General features: G+C 44.5%; 1 protein-coding gene and 2 long non-coding RNA genes across 30 annotated transcripts in view, besides 5 other annotated features; 1 reads left to right on the top strand and 2 right to left on the bottom strand.

Annotated features, from left to right (window-relative positions):
- Positions 1–12645, bottom strand: part of KLHL24 (kelch like family member 24) — a 48897-nt gene extending 36252 nt beyond the window's left edge. For 4 of the 28 annotated variants that reach the window (NR_146170.1, NM_001349428.1, NM_001349413.1 and 1 more), the window contains exons 1-2: positions 12475–12645; positions 4726–4788 (exon numbers count right to left, since the gene is read on the bottom strand). The gene's annotated coding sequence lies outside the window, so the exon portion shown is untranslated. Of the gene's footprint in view, positions 1–2381; positions 4183–4725; positions 4789–5012; positions 5362–11956; positions 12048–12474 lie in introns of all 28 variants that reach the window. The other 24 variants (NM_001349429.1, XM_017006653.2, XM_047448373.1 and 21 more) reach the window with 12 other exon arrangements.
- Positions 11240–11569: a silencer, noted in NCBI's record as "silent region_14946". NCBI's record gives its function as "represses an Ori minimal core promoter by ATAC-STARR-seq in GM12878 lymphoblastoid cells {active_cell/tissue: GM12878}" and the evidence as "EXISTENCE:reporter gene assay evidence [ECO:0000049][PMID:35858748]".
- Positions 11620–11939: a silencer, noted in NCBI's record as "silent region_14945". NCBI's record gives its function as "represses an Ori minimal core promoter by ATAC-STARR-seq in GM12878 lymphoblastoid cells {active_cell/tissue: GM12878}" and the evidence as "EXISTENCE:reporter gene assay evidence [ECO:0000049][PMID:35858748]".
- On the top strand, positions 11659–14105 carry LOC107986162 (uncharacterized). Its single transcript, XR_001741042.2, has 2 exons — positions 11659–11733; positions 11984–14105. It is a non-coding gene; the product is annotated as an uncharacterized LOC107986162 (long non-coding RNA).
- Positions 12130–12199: a silencer, noted in NCBI's record as "silent region_14944". NCBI's record gives its function as "represses an Ori minimal core promoter by ATAC-STARR-seq in GM12878 lymphoblastoid cells {active_cell/tissue: GM12878}" and the evidence as "EXISTENCE:reporter gene assay evidence [ECO:0000049][PMID:35858748]".
- Positions 12210–12319: a silencer, noted in NCBI's record as "silent region_14943". NCBI's record gives its function as "represses an Ori minimal core promoter by ATAC-STARR-seq in GM12878 lymphoblastoid cells {active_cell/tissue: GM12878}" and the evidence as "EXISTENCE:reporter gene assay evidence [ECO:0000049][PMID:35858748]".
- Positions 12740–12799: an enhancer, noted in NCBI's record as "active region_20896". NCBI's record gives its function as "activates an Ori minimal core promoter by ATAC-STARR-seq in GM12878 lymphoblastoid cells {active_cell/tissue: GM12878}" and the evidence as "EXISTENCE:reporter gene assay evidence [ECO:0000049][PMID:35858748]".
- Positions 14106–15282: 1177 nt separating the features above from the next.
- Positions 15283–18213, bottom strand: LOC105374248 (uncharacterized). Its single transcript, XR_924773.3, has 3 exons — positions 18113–18213; positions 17313–17399; positions 15283–15555 (listed from the first exon to the last, which is right to left on the bottom strand). It is a non-coding gene; the product is annotated as an uncharacterized LOC105374248 (long non-coding RNA).
- Between the last annotated feature and the right edge of the window lie 4049 nt (positions 18214–22262).

Raw genomic sequence — 22262 nt, 5'->3', positions numbered from 1 at the left:
TCTTTTTCATGTTCCTATTTATCTCCATCCTCTCTTCTCACTCTAATGCCCCAGATATCCTACTTCCAATATTCACTAGATACTTGCAATTTTCATGAATTCTCTCACTGAATTTACTTAATATTGCAGCTTTTACCATCATCATCATCAACAAATATTTATTATATGCCCACTATTGTCACGATACTGTACTAGGCCTAGGGTTTACAGAGATGTAAGATATTGCTATTGGAGTTTTTTGTTTTTGTTTTTGCTTTTTTGAGACAGGGTCTCCTTGTGTTGCCCAGGCTGGAGAGTACAGTGCCATGACCTCGGCTCACTGCAACCTCTGCCTCCCGGGTTCAAGCGATTTTCGTGCCTCAGCCTCCCGAGTAACTGGGATTACAGGCGCATGCCACCGCGCCTGGCTAATTTTTGTACTTTTTTTAGTAGAGACAGGTTTTGCCATGTTAGCTAGGCTGGTCTTGAACTCCTGAGCTCAAGCAATTCTCCTGCCTTGGCCTCCCAAAGTGCTGGGATTACAGGCGTGAGCCACTGCGCTCAGCCTGTTATGTTTTGTTTTGTTTCAGATGCTCTGTTGCCAGGCTGGAGTGTAGTGGCGCCATCTTGGCTCACTGTAACCTCCACCTCCCAGGCTCAAGTGATTCTCCTGCTTCAGCCTCCCAAGTAGCTGGGACTACAGGCACGCGCCAGCACGCCTGGATAATTTTTTGTATTTTAGTAGAGACGGGGTTTCACCATGTTGACCAGGATGGTCTAAATCTCCTGACCTCGTGATCCACCCGCCTCAGCTTCCCCAAGTGCTGGGATTACAGGCGTAATCCTTTTCATTTTTTATTTTTTAATTTTTTTTGAGACGGAGTCTCGCTCTGTCGCCAGGCTGGAGTGCAGTGGCACGATCTCAGCTCACTGCAACCTCCACCTCCCAGGTTCAAGCGATTCTCCTGCCTCAGCCTCCTGAGTAACTGGAACTACAGGCGTGCACCACCACACCCAGCTAACTTTTATATTCTTAGTAGAGATGACGTTTCACCATGTTGGGCAGGATGGTCTCAATATGACCTCGTGATCCACCCGCCTTGTCCTCCCAAAGTGCTAGGATTACAGGCATAAGCCACTGCGCCCAGCTTTTTTTTTTTTTTTAAGAGTTGCAACAAGGCCGGGCGCGGTGGCTGACGCCTGCAATCCCAGCACTTTGGAAGACCGAGGCGGGTGGATCACAAGGTCAGGAAATCGAGACCATCCTAGCTAACAGTGAAACCCCGTCTCTACTAAAAAAAAAAAAAAAAAATTAGCTGGGCGTGGTGGCAGGCGCCTGTAGTCCCAGCTACTTGGGAGGCTGAGACAGGAGAATGGCGTGAACCTGGGAGGTGGAGCTTGCAGTGAGCCTAGATCGCGCCACTGCACTCCAGCCTGGGTGACAGAGCGAGACTCCATCAAAAAAACAACAAAAAAGAGTTGCAATAAAACATATTCAAACAACATAAATAATAACATAAAGTAGCACAGACAATATGTCCCATTGGTACAGACAGCCTAGTTCCTCCTTAAACTTCTATTACATTTTAAAAATTCTCTTCATATCAATTAGCACTTAACCTTCCTGAAGCCTAGGTGATAGGATTTTCTCTGGACAGATATATGCCAGGTTATTCTGACCATTCAGGGAAAAATACCTGGCTATAACAACATCTGAAGGACACCTAAATGCTTGCATGCTATACAGGATCTTTTCTGTTTCTCTGTCTATCCCCCAAATGTGCAGGTAAAGTCAGAAAAAATCCAAGCAATTTTATCAGTCAAATGGAATAAAGACTAAAGTGAAATAAATAATATTTTCATTTGAAATCACTAGGGTGGAGAGTCAGAGGCAGTATGTTGATTTTTTTTTTTTTTTTTTTTTTTTGAGATGGAGTCTTGTTCTGTCACCCAGGCTGGAGTGCAGTGGCACAATCTCGGCTCACTGCAACCTCCACCTCCCAGGTTCAAGCTATTCTCCTGCCTCAGCTGTCCAAGCGGGTGGGACTACAGGCACATGCCACCATGCCGGGCTAATTTTTGTACTTTTGGAAGAGACGGGGTTTCACCATGTTGGCCAGGCTGGTCTTGAACTGACCTCAAGTGGTCCATCTGCCTCAGCCTCCCAGAGTGCTGGGATTACAGGCATAAGCCACCACACCTGGCCACCCTCATTTCTAAGTTAAAAAAAAAACAAAACAAAAAACCCAGAAAATTTCAAATGTACAAATATACATGCATTTTCTAAATACATAACAAAGCTTTGTGATGTAATATAATAGTTATGGCAATGGAAGCTCATGGAGAAGGCCTATTTAAATGAACACATATAAAAGTAAAGATAAACACAAGACAATGCTTACCAATGGCTGGTTTCGGAGTAAATGTCAACAAAGTAACTCCCACAAATTTAGTTAGGAAAATTAGTTTCTCTTAAATTTGAGGAAATATTTTCCTCTACATGTATGTTATGGTCCAAACAAGCTAGATTTTTAACTTCGACCCAATTATGTTTTGCAGATTTTAGGTAACAGACTTGCCTGAGAACAAATAAAAGCTCTATTTCATTTTATTAATTTTAATACCTAAATGAATAAAAATATATCTGAGTTTAAAATATTTTATTAGTTTTAAAATTTATTATCACTAACTAAAAAAAAATGGATTTCTTCCCATCTCTTTTAAGATTTTTCTGATTACTCAGAGTTCATGTTTGCTTCATTATACGTCACCCAACTTGGGTTACAGTTGCCCATATATTTGTGTGGATGTCTGGATGCATGTGCATACACACAGCTTAACATTTACAACTCCATTTACAATGCATAGAATGACTTCCAAATTCCAGGCTCCCACACATGAGCAGTAGCGTATCTATCAAATATGCTTTTAATTTGAAGTTATCTCAATAACCATTTTATAAACAGAAATGTATCCCCCATATCAAGAGAGATCACTACTGTACCTGAATGTCAATTTTTTGTTGTTGGTGAAACTTCAAAAAGTTCAATGTATGTAATATCACAAGTAATTAAAAAAGGGAACATTTCAATTATGATAAACATAAACTGTGATGACATGGAATATAACTCATATTTTAATCTTAATGCCTTATTAATCTAGATTCAAATTATGGTTGAATTAGCTACAAGTCAGGTACCCAAATCAAGAACCTACTATTCATTCCAGCTTAATCTAGTTTAAATTCCTGTTGCATTTCAGGTTCAAAAAATTCACACAAGTGATTGTGACTTTGACTAGTGATACAATTATTGGTATTAACAACAATGGAAATCGTGAGCTTCTTCCTGCATACATTTTCACTTTCTCAATGTTTAAATGAAAATTTGTTCAGAATACAAAACAAAATAGCACATTGTAAGAACTAAGAATTTCCCTTTGGCTAGAATGGACAAGTAGAAAAACAAATATAAAAGTATACTTTGTTTTATGTATTCAATGATTTTATTCTATCTAATATTTATTAGATAAATTTGAGAACAGTGAGTTAAGTATTAATATAAAATTGATTAAGCTTTGTATCAATTAAGGGTCTGTCTTTTTATGCTATTATCTGCCCCTTATTTTCATAGTTGGCTCCTTGATTTGTTCACTGACAAAAGAGGTCTTCCTCTCCACTACTTTTACCCAATAAAAAATGGAAAATCCTGGACTAGAACACCTATAAAATCACCTTGTATTACAAAGTCTTCAACAGCAATGAGATATTTGTTTACTGCTCTGTATGTAAGAGAGACTATCTCATAGATCTTTCCAAACAGCTTCAGCCTGCTGCCTCCTGACTTTTGGGCATCTTGACTTCCTCTGGATTTTCTGGGAACTCTCCAATTACTGGTCTCCGTAACTACACCAAATGTAAACACTTCCTATGTATAAATGATTTGCAGGAGGGCATCTTAGGAGTGTGAGATGCATTCAGAATGTATCTTTTGGGCTTCCACATGAAATTTGCTAGCTTTTGCCTTCCCATTTTATACAATAAAGTAATACAAAGATTAGCTGGGCGTGGTTGTGGACGCCTGTAGTCCCAGCTACTCAGGAGGCTGAGGCAGGAGAATCACTTGAACCCAGGAGACAGGAGAATCACTTGAACCCGGGAGGCGGAGGTTGCAGTGAGCCGAGATCGCACCATTGCACTCCAGCCTGGAAACAGAGCAAGACTCCGTCTCAAAAAAAAAAAAAAAAAAAAAAAAAGGAAAGAAAAATGTTATCCTATCATCTCAAAGTACGGTGACTAATATAGGTTCAAGATTGATCAAAATGAACTCATGATGCATAATCAAGCAAACAAAACGTAAGATTACAGATTGAACCATTATAACATTTTTGCAAATATCACAGCAGAATTATTCCCATCAGGAAAAAGTAAACAACTAAGTAGGCATCTCTAGACAAAATAAGTAGGAAAAGCTTCTTTCCAAACAAACATAATGACTTAAAGTTATATCTACATGAGTTAATGTATATAAGTTGATCAGACATGAATGAGGCTCTCAGGAAAGCACAGAAGAGTGGGTAAATATTTAGTAACAGAAATGATTGTCACACTGCCATCTTTTGTGATCTTAAGGATAGAGTTGTGCCTTGTTATCTGATTGGCTTAAGTGATCCCTGGTTAAAGAAAGGAATATGGTTTAAATTCTCTAATAACAACATTTAGATAGTTTATAAATATTACAAATATACCTTTTTAGCATTTGGTTGATCAAAGCCCCAGTCAAAATATGTGTGTTCTTTTAATTTCCACACCTAAAATAAAGAAAGAATAGCAACATATAAATCAGATAGTTGTCAGTTCATGTACAGCTGGCATTATTTACTAATATGTTGAACAAAGTTTTTAGTAATTTCTAGTTTCCAACTGAAGTTCGTTTTTGTTTAAAAATAATTAGTGAATAACATCTCCTTAAAGTAAATTAATAACTTAATGCTATTTTACATAACTAGTTTTTCTTATTTATCAACTTCCTTACTTGACAGTTTTTTTGTTTGTTTTTTGAGACTGAGTTTTGCTCTTATTGCCCAGACTGGAGTGCAATGGCGCAATCTCGGCTCACGGCAACCTCCGCCTCCCAGGTTCAAGCGATTCTCCTGCCTCAGCCTCCCTAGTAGTTGGGATTACACGTATGTGCCGCCATGCCCAGCTAATTTTGTATTTTTAGCAGAGACAGGGTTTCTCCATGTTAGTCAGGCTGGTCTCAAACTCCCGACCTCAGGTGATCCGCCCGCCTCGGCCTCCCAAAGTGCTGGGATTACAGGCATGAGCCACCGTGCCCGGCACTTGACAGTTTTATCCTGGAGTTTTATCCTGCAGTAAAATTTCTTGAGTGAAAAATGAGTAAAAGAAAATTAATGTCAATAGCAAGCTAATGGTAGCACTGAAAAAACATACACTCTGTGATATTTGAATACACTTTGGATATTTGAAGAGTGTCTGGAAATTGATGTTTCATCCAAGTTTGGGGCCATTAAATAATTCTAAGAGTTAGCAAATAATTTTTTTATCTTTTAATATATAAATGTATATTTCTTCTGCCTTGAATCTTGTAGAAACTTAATCCCCATATCCCCATAGAAACCAACTAATTCGGCACAATTCCTTTTTTTTTTTTTTTTTTTTTTTTTTGGTGGAAGGGGAGAAGAGGAATGCTTAAGAGAAAATACCAGAACCTTGAGCTGTGTACAGAATAGCAATAGTATTTAAACACAAGTGGTTCTGGTTTCTGGCCCAGATATCTTTAAATAGAACTTGTAAATTCTTAACAAGTTTAGACAAATTCAAAAGTTGATTCCAAAACCAAATATAAACGACCTTTTTTTTAAATGTATACACACAAACACATATGTATACCCAGACTGTGTTATGATCATCAAGTGAATGCTATCCTGTGTTTCCTTACTTTCAGAAGTGAACCTGACTTGTATGTACCCTTGGTAAAAAAATATTGCAACTAGGGCAAATTTGGGAATTGTTACTCCTAGCTAAGTAAATCTTCCTTCCCAATGGACAATAAGATCCTGAATCAATGCAGGGATGCAGGTCAATTCATGAAACATTTATAAAGAACCTAGTTTATGTCTGTCACTGGCTGGCAAATACTGGATTCAGATCCAATTTTAGACTCTGTGGGGTTGGCTAAGAGTAGAGCCAAACAAGAACTCCAAGATTGGTACTAAAATAGATTCAAATTCTTAGCAGGTGCAGACTGGAATAGAGCCTCTCATAACCGATCTGGTCTAGAATTATACCTTATGGGGTAGAAAGCATAAGGCAATTCACCTGGACATTTTCTATGGATTTTTAGGTAATACCAACCTAATCGGTAAGGGTAAGGGATGGAAGAGAGAGGGTACAAAGTCTGATGGAGATATGTAATATCAGAATTAATCTACAGCGTGAGTGTACTGAAACAAGCTTATGTTTCCTTTAGAATGCAGAAATTCTATACGATGAGGTTACTAACATCCTTAAAGATAGTATGGATTAATGAGGGGCTTCTAAAAACTAATACCAGAAAACAAAGGAACCAACAACATCCTGACTAGCATGGCCCCTAAAACTTGTAGTAGAGAACTGCTGCATACTATGTTCTACGCTACTCCATTTTCTCAAATTTAACCTTGAAAGAACACCACAGGAGATGAAAAGAAAGGTTAACCAAGAGGTTTATCTTGAAAGATATATAGTAACTCAAAAGAAAGAAAGTCAGAAAATAATTGCAATATAGTAAATCTTTTTTTTTTTTTTTTTTTTGAGACAGTCTCACTCTGTTGCCAGGCTGGAGTGCAGTGGCATGATCTCGGCTCACTGCAACCTTCACCTCCTGGGTTCAAGCGATTCTCCTGCCTCAGCCTCCCATGTAGCTGGGACTACAGGTGTGCGCCACCATGTATTTTTAGTAGAGACGGGGTTTCACCATGTTGGCCAGGATGGCCTCGATCTCTTGACCTTGTGATCCACCCGCCTCGACCTCCCAAAGTTCTGGGATTACAGGCGTGAGCCACTGTGCCCGGCCAGTACATCTTTTATTTAAAAAATAACCAGAAAATCATATATAATAAGGTACTATACAAAACCAAGCAATTTTTATACATTTCAGATATTTTCACCCTATAGTCTCAAAAGCTAATTTATTTGATGACTTTTTAAAAATCATAAACTTGCACTATCAAAATTTCAGTTTAAAGAATTACTCTGCAGCAGTGGTTCCTGGACCATGTTTTACAAATGTAATGTTTAAAGCCCAGCCTTCAAGCTATTTTCAACATTTCCAGTTTCTTAATGGAACCACCAAGACCATATTTACCCACCACAAGATAACAGAAACTGGCTGGCCGAGGTGGCTCACGCCTGCAGTCCCAGCACTTTGAGAGGCTGAGGCAGGCGGATCACGAGGTCAAGGGTTCGAGACCAGCCTGGCCAACATAGTGAAACCCCGTTTCTACTAAAAATACAAAAAAATTAGCCGGGTGTGGTGGCGGGCACCTGTAATCCCAGCTACTCAGGAGGCTGAGGCAGCGGAAATGCTTGAACCCAGGAGGCGGAGGTTGCAGTGAGCCAAGATGGCACCATCACACTCCAGCCTGGGCGACAGAGCAAGACTCTGTCTCAAAAAAAAAAAAAAAAAGAAAAAAGAAAAAAGAAAAAAAAGAAAAGGTAACAGAAACCAACTAAAACCTTGAGTTTCTTTGGATAGAATGATAGCAACTATGGATTACCCCATATTTATTAGAACCTCAAATGGGCAATATACTATATGACTTTGCTTGATGAGAAACAAAACAGATAGCTGTTGATGACAAATTTAGGAAAGCTTAAACAATGTGTCAGACTAAACAATATGGTTCTTTAACTAAAAAAGAATACTATTGTCTCTTAAATCACAGGAAAAAAAATATGAATTTCTCCAGTGTTTCTCTCCCTCGACTTAAAACTTCTGGCTACTGATATTCCCCAACCCTAAAGGAAGAAAAAAACTTGTTAACCATCAGACATCACACGTGGTATACCAAGCTGCCCTATTGAGCCTACTCATGCTTCTGACTAGACTTGATGTGTAAATTTACTGTTGTTTGGTTTTATCTTGCTAACATGTTTCTTTTAGGTATTTAATGCATTGTTTTATTTGATAATCAAAACACCTATAGATATATGATATAGTTATGTTTTCTGTTAGAAAAATGGTTTTGGTTATTTATTTATTGAGATGGAGTCTCGCTCTGTCACCCAGGATTGAGTGCAGTGGCACAATCTTGGCTCACTGCAACCCCCACCTCCCGGGTTCAAGTGATTCTCCTGCCTCAGCCTCCCGAGTAGCTGGGATTACAGGAGCGTGCTACCACACCAGGCTAATATTTTCTGGGTTTGTTTGTTTGTTTGGTTTTTAGTGGAGATGGGGGTTTCACTATGTTGGCCAGGCTGGTCTCGAACTCCTGACCTGGTGATCCACCTGGCCCGGCCTCCCAAAGTGCTGGGATTACAAGCGTGAGTCACCACGCCCAGCCCGGTTTTGGTTTTTTAATTAAATCTGCAAGGATGCCAGCAAGGAGCTCTGCCACCTGAACAAATTTGAGATTTTTTTTTTTTTTTTTTTTTTTTGAGACAGAGTCTTGCTCTGTCACCCAGGCTGGAGTGCAGCGGCGCGATCTTGGCTCACTGCAAGCTCCGCCTCCTGGGTTCACGCCATTCTCCTGCCTCAGCCTCCCGAGTAGCTGGGACTACAGGCGCCCGCCGCTACGCCCGGCTAATTTTTTGTATTTTTAGTAGAGACGGGGTTTCTCCGTGTTAGCCAGGATGGTCTTGATCTCCTGACCTTGTGATCTGCCCGCCTTGGCCTCCCAAAGTGCTGGGATTACAGGCGTGAGCCACCGCGCCCGGCCACAAATTTGAGATCTAATATTTTACATGACTTCTCTATGAATAAAAGCACATAGTCAGTGGTTTATATTTATCTTAGTAGTGACACGAATTATTTACAGTGGTAGCCTTTGGAAACCTCAGTTAAGAGTAAAGCCCACTTTTTTTTTTGAGACGGAGTTTTGCTCCTGTTGCCCAGGCCGGAGTGCAATGGCGCGATCTCAGCTCACTGCAACCTCCGCCTCCCGGTTCAAGTGATTCTCCTGCCTCAGCCTCCTAAGTAGCTGGGATTACAGCCGCCTGCGGCCACACCCGGCTAATTTTTGTATTTTTAGTAGAGACGGGGTTTCACCACGTTGGCCAGGCTGATCTTGAACTCCTGACCTCAGGTGATCCACCCGCCTCAGCCTCCGAAAGTACTGAGATTACAGGCGTGAGCCACCGCACCCAGCCAAAGCCTACTTTTAAAACACCAGTTTAGTAGTCTTTAAGATGTGCCAAATGTTGAAATACTTTAACTCTGGGATGATGAATATAGGCAGAGTGCCAAACTCTTCAATTTAAAGAAGTTTGCTTAGCGATTGTTTTATTGTTTATTTTTTGAGACAGGGTCTCACTATGTTGCCCATTCTGTTCTCAAACTCCAGAGCTCAAGAGATTCTCCTGCCTCAGCCTCTGGAGTAGCTGGGATGACAGGCAAGCACTTAATGTGTTTTTAATAGGAGAAACAATAGCGGTTTTTAAATGTCAACAGTTGTCAAGTGGCTATATACTCTCCAGTTGTTTCAGTCACACCAGAAATAAAATCATACAAAAATATATTTTTCATACGTATACTTGTGAAGATATTTACTTACATTTTTCCATTATACAGTCCATACCCAAATATTTATTGAAAAAAGTGTCCCAAATTTTTGTCAAATAGACAAAAATAACTGTGGTCACTTATTTGATTAATAGTATTTATTTTTCACAGGCTTGACCTTTGGGTTTTAATGAAATGGGAGAAAAGGAAGTTAAAAAAAGTTATTGAAAAAGCATTAAGGTTCAACAACTTGGACAAAAGCCAGGAAAGTTTAAGTTAAAGCTGGTAGTCAGCCTTAACGCAGAATTTATTTCTTCTTCCTGTTTAGAGACTTAGGTTGCTGGCTTTGTTTGAATAAGCAAGCCTTTACTGAGTGATGGTTTTACTTTTTCAAAAGGTTAGACGATTGCATTTTGTACTCATTTAGATACATTAAATACTCTCAATGCACAAGTGATGAGGCGGTTCTGATCACAGGAGATGCTCATTCCGGTGTAACCATCTCCTCTGGAATTTTAAAGAATGCATAACCAATAGGAACTGTTCATATTCAATTCCTGCTTCATCCAGGGGAGCTCAAACTTCCTTCTACAAAAATGTATTGTCTTTGCCAGGCACGGTGGCTCACGCCTGCAATCCCAGCACTTTGGGAGGCTGAGGCGGGCGGATCACCTGAGGTCAGGAGTTCAAGACTAGCCTGGCCAACATGGTGAAACCCCGTCCCTACTAAACATACAAAAACTAGCCGGGCGTGGTGGCGGGCGCCTGTCATCCCAGCTACTCGGGAAACTAAGGCAGGAGAATCGATTGAACTCGGGAGGCGGAGATTGCAGTGAGCTGAGATGGCCTGGGTGACGGAGTGAGACCACTCCACTCCAGCCTGGGTGACAGAATGTGAGACCCTGTCTCAAAAACAAAACAAGTGTATTAAGTCTTGAGTGAATTCCTATATCTGCAGAAGAAAATCTGACAAAACGCAAATACCCTATTAACTCAAGCGATTAGAAAAACCATTTTCAACACACTATGGCTAAAAATGATTGGTCTTGAAGATTTTATTACCGTCAGCTTAATGTACAATTTTAAAACGACACAGTCGCAACCCACTTCTCAAACATTTTGAATTACCACGGGAATTAAAACATAGAAGTGTGTGACCTAGAATCCCTCAAACAAGGAAAACAACTCATCCGAGCCGAGTATGGAAGAATCTTTACTTTTTAGGGGAGTATCTTCAAACTATCTTTTTTAAATAGTAGAAATCTGCTTTTAAATCTCAGCCAACAACAAGCAGATTTTAAATCTATTTTACAACCCTAATAAAAACCAACCTCTTAGCTGGTGGACCCAGTCTGTAGCTGCAAATACAAAGACGTGATTTTTGAAAAGCTGCCCACAAGAGCAAGTGATTAATCATTAAAATCCACTAAAATCAATTGTGAACAGCCACTGCCTCAGGGGTGACCGTGGGGCCCCCTAAGATGTGGCACTGTGATCTATATTTAGCTATCTAAACACGTTTACAGAACTGGCAACAACGTGTTCGCAGGACTTCCTGCGAACCACCCGGCAGATAACGCGACACTAGTTAAAGGGTGTTAATTTTCCGGTCCTCGGAGGGCAGGCCACGGTAGCCGATCTCTGCGTGCCCAGAACTGCCTGCAGGATCAGGCAGCAGCAGCGGCGGCGGCGGCCACCGAGGCTACCAGCCGCCCGCAGCAGGGGCGGGAGCGCGCGCCTCCCGCACCCGCGCCACCCGGCTCCACTCGGGCCGCAGCTGCAAAAGCAGCGACAGCGCGCGCTCCCGCGCGTCCTCCAGATCACCTTCAAGGGGGCGGGAAGAATGGCCCAGGGCAGGCCCACCTAGTGACAATAAAAACTCGCCAATAAAAACTCGAACTCTCCCTCGGGTACCGCCCACAAGCTGCCGCAGGCGCCCAATCCCCGCCGCGTTAACAGTCTTCACCCGGGGTGTCCAGAACTTGAGGGCGGGTCCATTAGGAACTAAATTAAGAAACTGAGTCCTGGAGTGGTAAGAAGGTGGGGAGGTTAGGCGGGGACTGCGCCGGCGGAACGCCCGCTCCCCCGCCCGCCCCGGCTCCCCGGGGACGGCCGCAGCGGGCCGGGTGTCGCGATCGTGGTAAACAAAGGCTCGCAGGGGACGGGGGCGGGGGTAACGGTCAGGTGACAGTGCCGAGTGCATTTCGCAATCGCTTTAATGGGGCTTCACGGGCCCGCGGCCCTGGGGACCCCACCTTGACCCCGTCATTCCTCCCGGACAGAACCGACGGTCGTCCCACCAAACAAGAAGGCTGGATTTGAGGCGGTCGCACTCCCCCGGGCTTCCTGAAATAAAAAGCAGCGCCCCGTTCGCAGCCCATCGGCAACAAGCAGCACCCGTCTGCCCAGCCGCCTCCCCCGGCGGCGCCCGGCCCCGCGGCGACTAGCCTACCGCACCTGCGGCTACCCCCAGTCCCGGCAACCACCCCGCCCTAGCCAGGCCGCACCAGCCGCGCCGCGGTTCCGGGCCGTAGTGCCAGGAGGCGCGCGCGCCCTCCCTCAGGGCTGTAGCTACCAAGCGGGGGAGGAAGACCCCCCAGGTGAACCCTGGAGGCCCCTCGCCTCAGAAAGGGGCCCTGTAGCCCAGCTGCAGCCTCTCCGCAGACCGCCAGTCTGGCTCTGAGAGGCCGGCCGCCGCTGGCTGCCCTCCCGCAGACACCCCGGTGGTCAGGACCGCCGTCGCCCCTCCGCCCCCGAGGACTCAGACTCTGACCGGTTCCTCGCCTTTCGGCCGGTCCCGGAGCTGTCACCCCCGGTACCTCTCGGCGAACACTGGAAGCAGCCAGCAGTGGCTAACCCCGCGGTCCCTCAGCGGCGGGCGGCGCAGCGCACTCTCCAGCGCCGGCGTCTCCTCCAGCCACCAGTCTCTGCCGCAGCTCACAACAAAGGAAACATGTGACCGTCCGGGCCAAAACACTGAGCGTCAGCGAACCCTGGCCAATCCGGGTGGGCGTCCTCCGCCCCGGGGAACCCTGGGAGATGTAGTTCACGCTTCCCGGTGGCCTCCGGGGCCACCTGGGGCTCCCGCCGTGGGGTGGGTGTCGGGTGCCCAAGAGGACGAGACCCACCCAAAGGGCTGCTGACTCAAAAACACCTTGTTTTAAGCAGAGACAGTTAAAAAAATGCCTCTTGTGTAAGGAGCCGAGTGAGAAGCCAGAGTCGTTTCTTTCCTTCCCTCAAAGGCCCCTGCCACGTCCCAAGGAAAAAGCCCGCGATCAGCCCTTCGACTTTAAAGCTTGGGTCGAAGCTTAGAGAGCTTTTTATTTGACCCTTTGATAGACAATCGGAAATCAGGCCTGAGGGCCTGCAGGGTGGACGAGACTAAAACCCCAGTCCTTAGAAGGAGCAAGGAAAACCACCTCTTTTTTTTTGATAAAGCTGTTACTGTCCCTGGTATCAAATCCTAGGTTACCTTTTTATTTTAAACGCACATGCACGTCGACCAAAGCTGTCACAAATCCCTGTTTTCCAAGGTAGATGGAGTTCCTAAAGGACATTGTGTTGTCGTTTTGTGTCTGCAAGCTTTTTGTTTTGTTTCGTTTTGAGACAGAGTTTCGCTCTGCCACTCAGGGTGGAGTGCAGTGGCGCAATCTCGGCCCACTGCAACCTCTGCCTCCCGGGTTCAGGCGATTCTCCCGCCTTAGCCTCCCGAGTAGCTGAGACTACAGGTGCCCGCCACCACGCCCAGGTAATGTTTTGTATTTTTAGTAGAGGCTGTGTTAGCCAGGCTGGTCTCGAACTTCTGGCCTCAAGTGATCCGCCTGCCTTGGCCTCCCACAGTGCTAGGATTACAGGCATGAGCCACTGCGCCCCGCCTGCAGGTATTCTTTTAAAGGATGATTGCAACCATTTAACTAGTTTTTGGTTTCTGATACCAAATTTAAAAATCTCTATCTTCTACATGTCATGAATACCGTCATGCCTCTATTAAATTAGGCGTTGTGTTCTGATGACCAGAGGCGGAAATAATATGGAAGGCCTATATACAGGCCTTTTAAACATACTTTTTAGGCCTCTTTTCCATCTCTTATTCAATTATTTGAGCTATTTCTTCTGGTATTTATATATTTCCAAATAATGTATGACTATTTCCTATTAAGGAAGCTATCCTTCTCATAATCTGGTTAAATCATTAATGTTTACGCTAATGAGACCATGTATTTATTATTCATTGTTGAGACAAATCGTATACAATTTCCCATCTTGTATGGCTTTTGGTTTTCCTTGGAGTTTTAATAATTATCCTCTTTCTTTGCTTATTTTATTATGGATCTATCACAATGTCCTCTTAGTTTTTCTAAAACGATAAAATGCTTTCAATACAACTCCATATAATCAAACCCATCAGATAATCCATCGTGTGTGTATGTGTGTGTGTGTGTGTGTGTGTGTGTGTGTGTGTGTGTGTATCTGTACTTTTTTCTTAGAGTCATTGGTCCGCAGTTCCAATGACTGTTTGGGAAGCTTGCTTCTCTGTCTTGGGTCTTCCCTTCTCCAGCATCCTAGCATTTTCTTCTGTGATTTCGAGCATTGCCTCATATTTTGGTAGAGCACATTCCTCTTAAATAGCTTCCTAAGAAAAGGTCCATGAGAAGTAAATATTTTTGAACTTTTCATGTCTAAAAATATCATCACTCTATTTTACCTTTGAATGATGATGTTGCCTAATCATACAATCTAGATTATAAATTATATTTATTCGGGATTTCGAAGATACTGCTTTATTAACACCTAGATTCTGGTATTGCTGTCGAGAAGTACAATGCTGTTCTTACACTGATTTTTTATATTTGTTGATGTATGCTTAATAATTCCCGCTCCTCAGGAGGTAGCTGCTGAATAGGTTCACGTGGTCTTCTCTTAGCAGCTCCTTATGAGCACCCCAGGCTCACGGATTAGCCTTCTTCAGTTTTGTTATTCCTTGTGATTTAAGACAATTTCTGGACTTTGGAACTTTTTTTGTGTGTGTGTGACGTCTCACTCTGTCGCCCAGGCTGGAGTGCAGTGGTGCAATCTTGGCTCACTGAAGCTCCGCCTCCCGGGCTCACACCATTCTCCTGCCTCAGCCTCCCGAGCAGCTGGGACCACAGGCGCCCGCCACCACGCCCGGCTAATTTTTTGTATTTTTAGTAGAAACGGGGTTTCACCGTGTTAGCCAGGATGGTCTCGATCTCCTGACCTCATGATCCGCCCATCTCAGCCTCCCAAAGGGCTGGGATTACAGGCCTGAGCCACTGCGCTCGACCTGGAACTTTTTATTTACTTATTTATTTATTTTTAATTTATTTTTATTTTTGAGATGGAGTCTTGCTCTGTTGCCCAGGCTGGAGTGCAGTGGCACGATCTCGGCTCACTGCAACTTCCACCTCCCAGGTTCAAGCAATTCTCGTGTCTCAGCCTCCTGAGTACCTGGGACTACAGGTGCCTGCCACCACGCCCAGCTAGTTTTTGTATTTTTAATAGAGACGGGGTTTCACCATATTGGTCAGGCTGGTCTTGAACTCCTGACCTCAGGTGATCCGCCCGCCTTGGCCTCCCAAAGTGCTGAGATTACAGGTGTGAGCCACTGCGCCCGGCCTGGACTTTGGAACTTGATCCTTCCAGTTTTGAATAGTCACAGCTGACTTGGATGTTGCTGATGTTGTCACACTTTATCTTGTTCTCCACCTGTTTACTTTTATGCATATATTTCTTCATTGTGTTATAGGCCAGAAGTTTATAGTCCTCCTGCATAGGAATTTGAGGGTCGTAGGAAGATCTTGACTTAACACCTCAGGATTCTTTGTGGGAAAATCTGGTGATGTAAGCGACAGAATAAGAATGTGCTTTGGCTCAAGCCAGGTTGAGGTGTGCCTTTGTGACTTTTACTTTAAAGGGACTCAGGGAGCAGGAATGTCTGGGGATGTGCAGAGGTACATGGCGTTAAGCTGGGCGAGGGTCTTGGCGTGAGAGAGAGGCCACGAAGCACCTAGTGGGTCATCTCTACCTTCATAAAGTCCCAACTGTCTGACAATACATACAAGGTCCTTCTTGATGCACCCTAGGGCCTACCTCTACAGCTGGAACACAGCCTCAGTGGACTACCTACAGTTGCCCAGAGGACTGTTGCTCTCTCTGTCTCCAGACCATTCCCGGCCATAGCCTGCTCCCTTTGCGTATTATGCCCCCTCCTTCCCTTCACCCCATTCACTAGGCTAGCTCCTGCCCCTCCTTTCAGGAGGCAGCTTGGAAATTGCTCTCCTGGGAACTCTCCTTTCCCCCCATTTCCCCCTGGGCTAAGTATCTTCCTTCTATCTTCCCACAGTAGCCTGTCTTTACCTCTTTCCCAGCAGTTGTTACACTAATTGTCCAGGTTTGTTGTATTTTATTTTATTATTTTTTGGAGACAGGTTCTTGCTCTGTTGCCCAGGCTGGAGTGCAGTGCCATGATCTTGGCTCACTGAAACCTTGAACCCCTGTGCTCAAGTGATCCTCCTCTCCCAGCTTCCTGAATAGCTAGAACTACAGGTGCATGCCACCTTGCTTAGCTAATTAAAAAAATTTTTTTTAAAGATGGGGGTCTTGCTATGTTGGCCAGGCTGGTCTCAAACTCCTGGCCTCAAGTGAACCTCCTGCCTCAGCCTTCCAAAGTGTTGGGATTACAGGTGTGAACCACCTTGCCCAGGCTGTCCAGCTTTATTTATGTGCCTTTCCCAACTGATGATCCTCTGAGGTCAGGGATCATCTTACTCATTTTGTATCCCAGTGCACCTAGTAGGTGTTCAATATGTGTCTGTTAACTGATTGAATGATCTCTACTTGTTTTTTGTATTTTTTTTGAGAAGGAGTCTTACTCTTGTCACCCAGGCCAGAGTGCAGTGGTGCGATCTCAGCTTACTACAACTTCTACCTCCTAGGTTCAAGCAATTCTCCTGCCTCACCCTCCCGAGTAGCTGGGATTACAGGCGCACACCACCATGCCCAGCTAATTTTTTTTTTTTTTTTTTTTGAGACAGAGTCTCGCTCTTGCTCTGTCGCCCAGGCTGGAGTGCAGTAGCACAATCTCGGCTCACTGCAAGCTCCGCCTCCCGGATTCAGGCCATTCTCCTGCCTCAGCCTCCCGAGTAGCTGGGATTACAGGTGCCTGCAACCACGCCCGGCTAATTTTTTGTATTTTTAGTAGAGACGGGGTTTCACCATGCTGGCCAGGCTGGTCTCGAACTCCTGACCTTGTGATCTGCCCGCCTCAGTCTCCCAAAGTGCTGGGATTACAGGCGTAAGCCACCGCGCCCAGCCCTGATCTCTACTTCTTAAAGGGAACTGAGAGAGCGAGAAAGTGCCAGTAGGCCCTTTGGGATCAACTTGGGGCTCACCTACCCGATGAGGTCCTCAGACAGTGCAGGGTCATCAAACAACTCTGAGAGAGGGAGGAAGAGGACCTACAAGCAAGCAGCCTTGGAGACCGGAAGCCCTGGCACATAGGCAGGGGCCTATCCAGCGGGTGGGGGCTCCTCAGGCAGCCAGAATATGGGTGGTCTTGGCATTGGTGGAGGGCCCTGGGGTTATGCCTACCTCAGAGTTCAGTTAATGTGGTTGGGTAGCAGCCTTTTCCTCAGCTGGGGCTGGAACAGAAGCAGAGCTGTCAAGTCCAGAGGGAATCTGCTGAAATCAAGTGAAATGAAGCCATAAGGTGATTTTTTTTGTGCAATGTTTACAACCCAAGTCTGCCTGGAGGTAGACGGTTGGAGTCAGGGGAACCAGAAGGTCTTCAGACCTATTCCCTCTCCTTTCAGGAATAGAGTATATCATGCCATATTGTGTCTTCTTGCAAACCCCTCAGAGTAGTCCTTGTTTTGCTTTCCATAGCATCCATGACAGCCCTTAAGATCTGGAGGTGGCCAAGCATCCATAGTTCCACCAGCCACTCATTTCTCCCACCGCAGCCTCTTCCCCATGCAGTGGTCTGAACCACTTCTTAGGCATCCCCAATACTTTCAGACTTCCCTGCCTCCCCTCTTGGCCTCCAGCCAAGGTCTCCCCTATCCCCAATTGTAGCAGAAACATTGGTCATCCTTTAAGGCCCATCTCGGGTGCCATCTCTTTGGTGGGGTCTTCTTGATTCACTCCTCTCTCCCCAACCTGCTACGAAGCAGTGCACACCTTCCAGTCCTTTAGAAAGTGGCACCCGCACTATTTTCACCCAGGGTCCTTTGATGTGCTACAAGGTCAGCACTTTGAGCTCCTCTCTCATAACAAATCCCAGTTGAAAAGCATTGGTGAATGGAGATTTTACTGAAGGCTTCATGAAGAGAGAATTACATGGCATCTCATGCTACAAAACTCTGTAGCAATCCCCACCTCTGCTCCCTTACCTCAGCGCTCCTCTTTTCCCACTGATACTCTCTCTCTGGGCCTCTCTCCAACCTCACGCTTGGGTTTCATCCCTTTCCGTGTTCTCTGCCACCTTCTTCCCAAACACACTCCCTCCTCCCATCTCCATTTCTGTAATACATATTTTCACACTCATCACCTTGCAAACAAGAGCTCCAAAGAACATCATAAATAAAATTATCCCTGCCCACCCCACCCCTACCCCATTTTCCTTCAAACATATTTAACATATCAGCAAGCCTGCTACACAATACTCCCCTCTCCAGAGTGTTGAGTGAAGGGGAAAGCAAACACAATACCCTAGTTGCTCAACACTCTGGAGAGGGGAGTATTGTGTAGCAGGCACCAGAGCCTCTTCAGTCTTGAGGGCCACCCCTCCCTCCTTTCTTCTCTGGTGAGGTCAGGTGATGCATTTCTGAAGCCCTATTGGATGAAGAGGTTTGACCCTTCCTAGCTGTGTAGATTCCAGGAAAAATTTGAATTGTCCTTCTGGGACCTCACTCCCACTCCAGCCCAGCCACTTATGGCCCCACTAGGCCAGGCAAAGCTTGTGATCAGAGATACCAACATTAAATTTCAAGAAGGAAAGACATAGCTGGAAATTTTTCTGTGTTGAGATCTGGGTAACAAGGAAATCTGCCACCTGGAAGGTGAGCTCCCCTGACTCCTTCACTGAGCTTTTTCCCTCAAGGGTGCCATCTGCCACAGGGTGTCCTTCCTCACAACTGAAGGAAGTGGGCCTTTCCATCTCATGGGGAGGGGAGGGAAGTGGCAATCCTTGGTTTGTCCCTAAAACTGTCCTTCACAGGTTGATGAGGTGCCAGGCGATTGGTGCCTCAGTGGCCTCATGATTTTGTGTGTGACCAAACCTATCTAGATGCAGATAAGGTGGTGGTCATCACCATGAGCCCCGAGTTCTGACTTCAGAGGGGTAAGGCATACCTGCATGCTTCCTCCATTGTGATGCCAGGCCTAGCTACACTCTTTATTCTGCCCCACGGACATCTGATTTCATCTCCATATAGAATTCCTGGCCGGGTGCAGTGGCTCACACCTGTAATCCCAGCACTTTGGGAGGCTGAGGTGGGTGGATCACGAGGTCAGGAGATCGAGACCATCCTGGCTAACACGGTGAAACCCCGTCTCTATTAAAAATACAAACAATTAGCCAGGCGTGGTGGTGGGCGCCTGTAGTCCCAGCTACTCGGGAGGCTGAGGCGGGAGAATGGCGTGAACCCGGGAGGTGGAGCTTTCAGTGAGCCGAGATCATACCACTGCACTCCAGCCTGGGTGACAGAGCGAGACTCCGTATCAAAAAAAAAAAAAAAAAAAAAAGAATTCCTGCTGCTGGAATCCCAGCAGGCTTTGATTATCCCCAGTTTCTTGCCTCCAAGGCTCCCTGCCTGCCATGACACTTAGGAGGCATGCACTAACTTTAACTTGATTTTTCTTTGCTGCGCCTGGCACTGCTCTCCCTTCAACTGCTTGCAGTTTCTGAGAGTGTGTCATATCCACCCGTGGTCTTGATTGCTTCGGGAGCCCTCCCAGGAATCCTGCAGTAGGTATGAAGGGAAGGGATTGGACCTATCCAAGGGTATCTGCAGCTGACCTCCTCTTCTGTTCTTGAAAGACCCCATCCAGTTTCTTAAGAAATCATCTGTTAAGGCTGAAACAACAATCTCTGGCCCAAGAATGATCAATTTAGTAATCTCACCTGGGGCTATGCTCATCAGAGGCTCCCTCTGAAGCACCCATTCAGAACAATGCAACCACCCAAAACCTCCAGTGCATATCTGAGAGCAGTTTCCACACACTGATAGTCCAGGGACTACCCTAGTCTATGTGGTGCCATTTTTCACTCTCTTACATAAACTCAGCAATTTGACACTCATATCCTCTGTCTCCCTCTAAAGACTTAAAATCTCAGTGTTCCTAGTTTAGCTTTAAAGTTGAAGAGTCTAGGCTCAAAACTTAACTTTACTTCTAGTAGCTGTACATCCCTGAGTAAATTACTCAATCTTTCTCAGCCTTAGTTTTATCATCTCTAAAATGGGCTAAAAACACTTTATAGGTCAGGCACCGTGGCTCACGCCTGTAATCTCAGCACTTTGGAGGCCGAGGCGGGTGGATCACGAGGTCAAGAGATCGAGACCATCCTGGCCAACATGGTGAAACCCCATCTCTACTAAAAATACAAAAAATTAGCCAGGCGTGGTGGCGGGCACTTGTAGTCCCAGCTACTCAGGAGGCTGAGGCAGGAGAATCACTTGAACCCGGGAGGCGGAGGTTACAGTGAGCCGAGATTGCACCACTGCACTCTAGCCGGGCGACAGAGTGAGACTCTGTCTTAAAAAAACAAAAAAAAACCCCAAAAAACAAAACAAAACAAAACAAAAAACACTTTATAGAATTGTTATGAGGATTAAATGAGAAGAAAAAGTATATCTCATGCCTGGGTTATAACAAATGCTCAATAACAACCAAAATTGTTGTTGTTATCTTCTCCTCCACCAATTCTATGTCCTCTATGATTTGTCCTTTGCTTTAAGAACAAGAGAGGCAAAGAAAGACAGAAATGAAAAGTAAAAGAATATATAACCTCTATTATATACATTTGAAAAACAACCCTGGAGAAATGAAATGATTTTAAAACCTAGAAACCAAAGCCAGCTTCTCTGAACACCCATCCAGGATCCTACCCTCTAAACAGAGATTGTCAACCAGGTGGAGAGAAGCAATCGCCTCTGTTCTTAAAATATCTACACTCAAAGGCCAAATAACTGAGCTTAAATTTGATTGCCTCTGGGTTGCCAACCAAGGAATGAGGAGTCATGGATTGAGGAAACCTATATTTCTTTCAGTAAGCTTTTCACACTAAAAAAAACAACCACAAAAACCCAAAAACTATGTGCATATATATAGTATTCAAATTTTTTTTAAATATTTAATTTTTGTTGGCCTGATTCGTGATCAAAATAAGCGCCTGTATTCACTATTGCACAATCTCTTTTGCTTCCAACCCCAGAGTGCTCTGAGACTGGCCTAGAAAACAAGGAGGGCTCCCAGGTCACCAGCACACAGGGACAGAGCCTCTTGACCCCGCTTGTGACAGCATCGCAAGCACATGCCTGACATATTTTGGAAAGCCTGACTGGTTCTATTGCTGGTACATGAAAGTTTTGCTCCGGCAGCAAATCTCTAAATTTAGATGCTTTTCAGGATGAACTCCGAGTGATCTTTGTCCCGAAGACTAGTAAGAAGTTGGAGGGCACCTTGCTTTTTATTTATTAATTCAAATGCCAGAGTTGATATTTCATAATGCAAGACTTGTGAAAATTGCCGTATTAATGGAAAATAAAACAAACAAACAAAAAGATTTTTGCTTTATAGTTCTCATAAAAGTTTTACCCTGGGTTTGTTTTTGTTTGATGTGAGTTAGCAAAGTATTACCATTATCTGTTATTATAATATGGTATTATAATATGGTAATACTTTGCAAAGTCACGTGAAATAAAAACAAACCCAGAGTAAAAATTTTTTTCCTAGTAACTCTATGGGAGAGTCTCGGATTAATACAATTTAGGAATTTTAGCTCTAATATAATATCTTGATGCATAAAATTTGCCATTTTAATTGAAGAAAAGATACTTTCCCAATAAATTAAGAAGATATTAAAGACAGAACCTTTAAGGAATGCTGAGTACACTTTAGCGAAGAACCAGCTCCTGGCAAGGCCAGCTCCACCAGTGTATCTTTATGGAGAGCCAAGAATTTACCTTTGGGGCCAGGCGCAGCGGCTCACACCTGTAATCCCAGCACTTTGGGAGGGTCAGGTGGGTGGATCACCTGAGGTCAGGAGTTCGAGACCAGCCTGGCCAACATGGTGAAACCCTGTCTCTACTAAAAATACAAAAATTAGCCAGGTGTGGTGGCGCATGTCTGTAGTCCCAGCTACTCGGGAGGCTGAGGCAGGAGAATCACTTGAATCCTGGAGGTGGAGGTTGCAGTGAGCCAAGATCACGCCATTGCACTCCAGCCTGGGCAACAGAGCGAGACTCTGTCTCAAAACCAAAAAAAACAAAAAAAAAAACAAAAAAAAACACGACCAAAGAATATACCTTTGGATTTGGA

The sequence above is a fragment of the Homo sapiens genome, chromosome 3 (assembly GCF_000001405.40).
Source record: "Homo sapiens chromosome 3, GRCh38.p14 Primary Assembly".
Lineage (NCBI taxonomy): Eukaryota > Metazoa > Chordata > Mammalia > Primates > Hominidae > Homo > Homo sapiens.
Note: the sequence above shows the minus strand (reverse complement) of the source record. Positions and strands in the feature narration are given on the sequence as shown.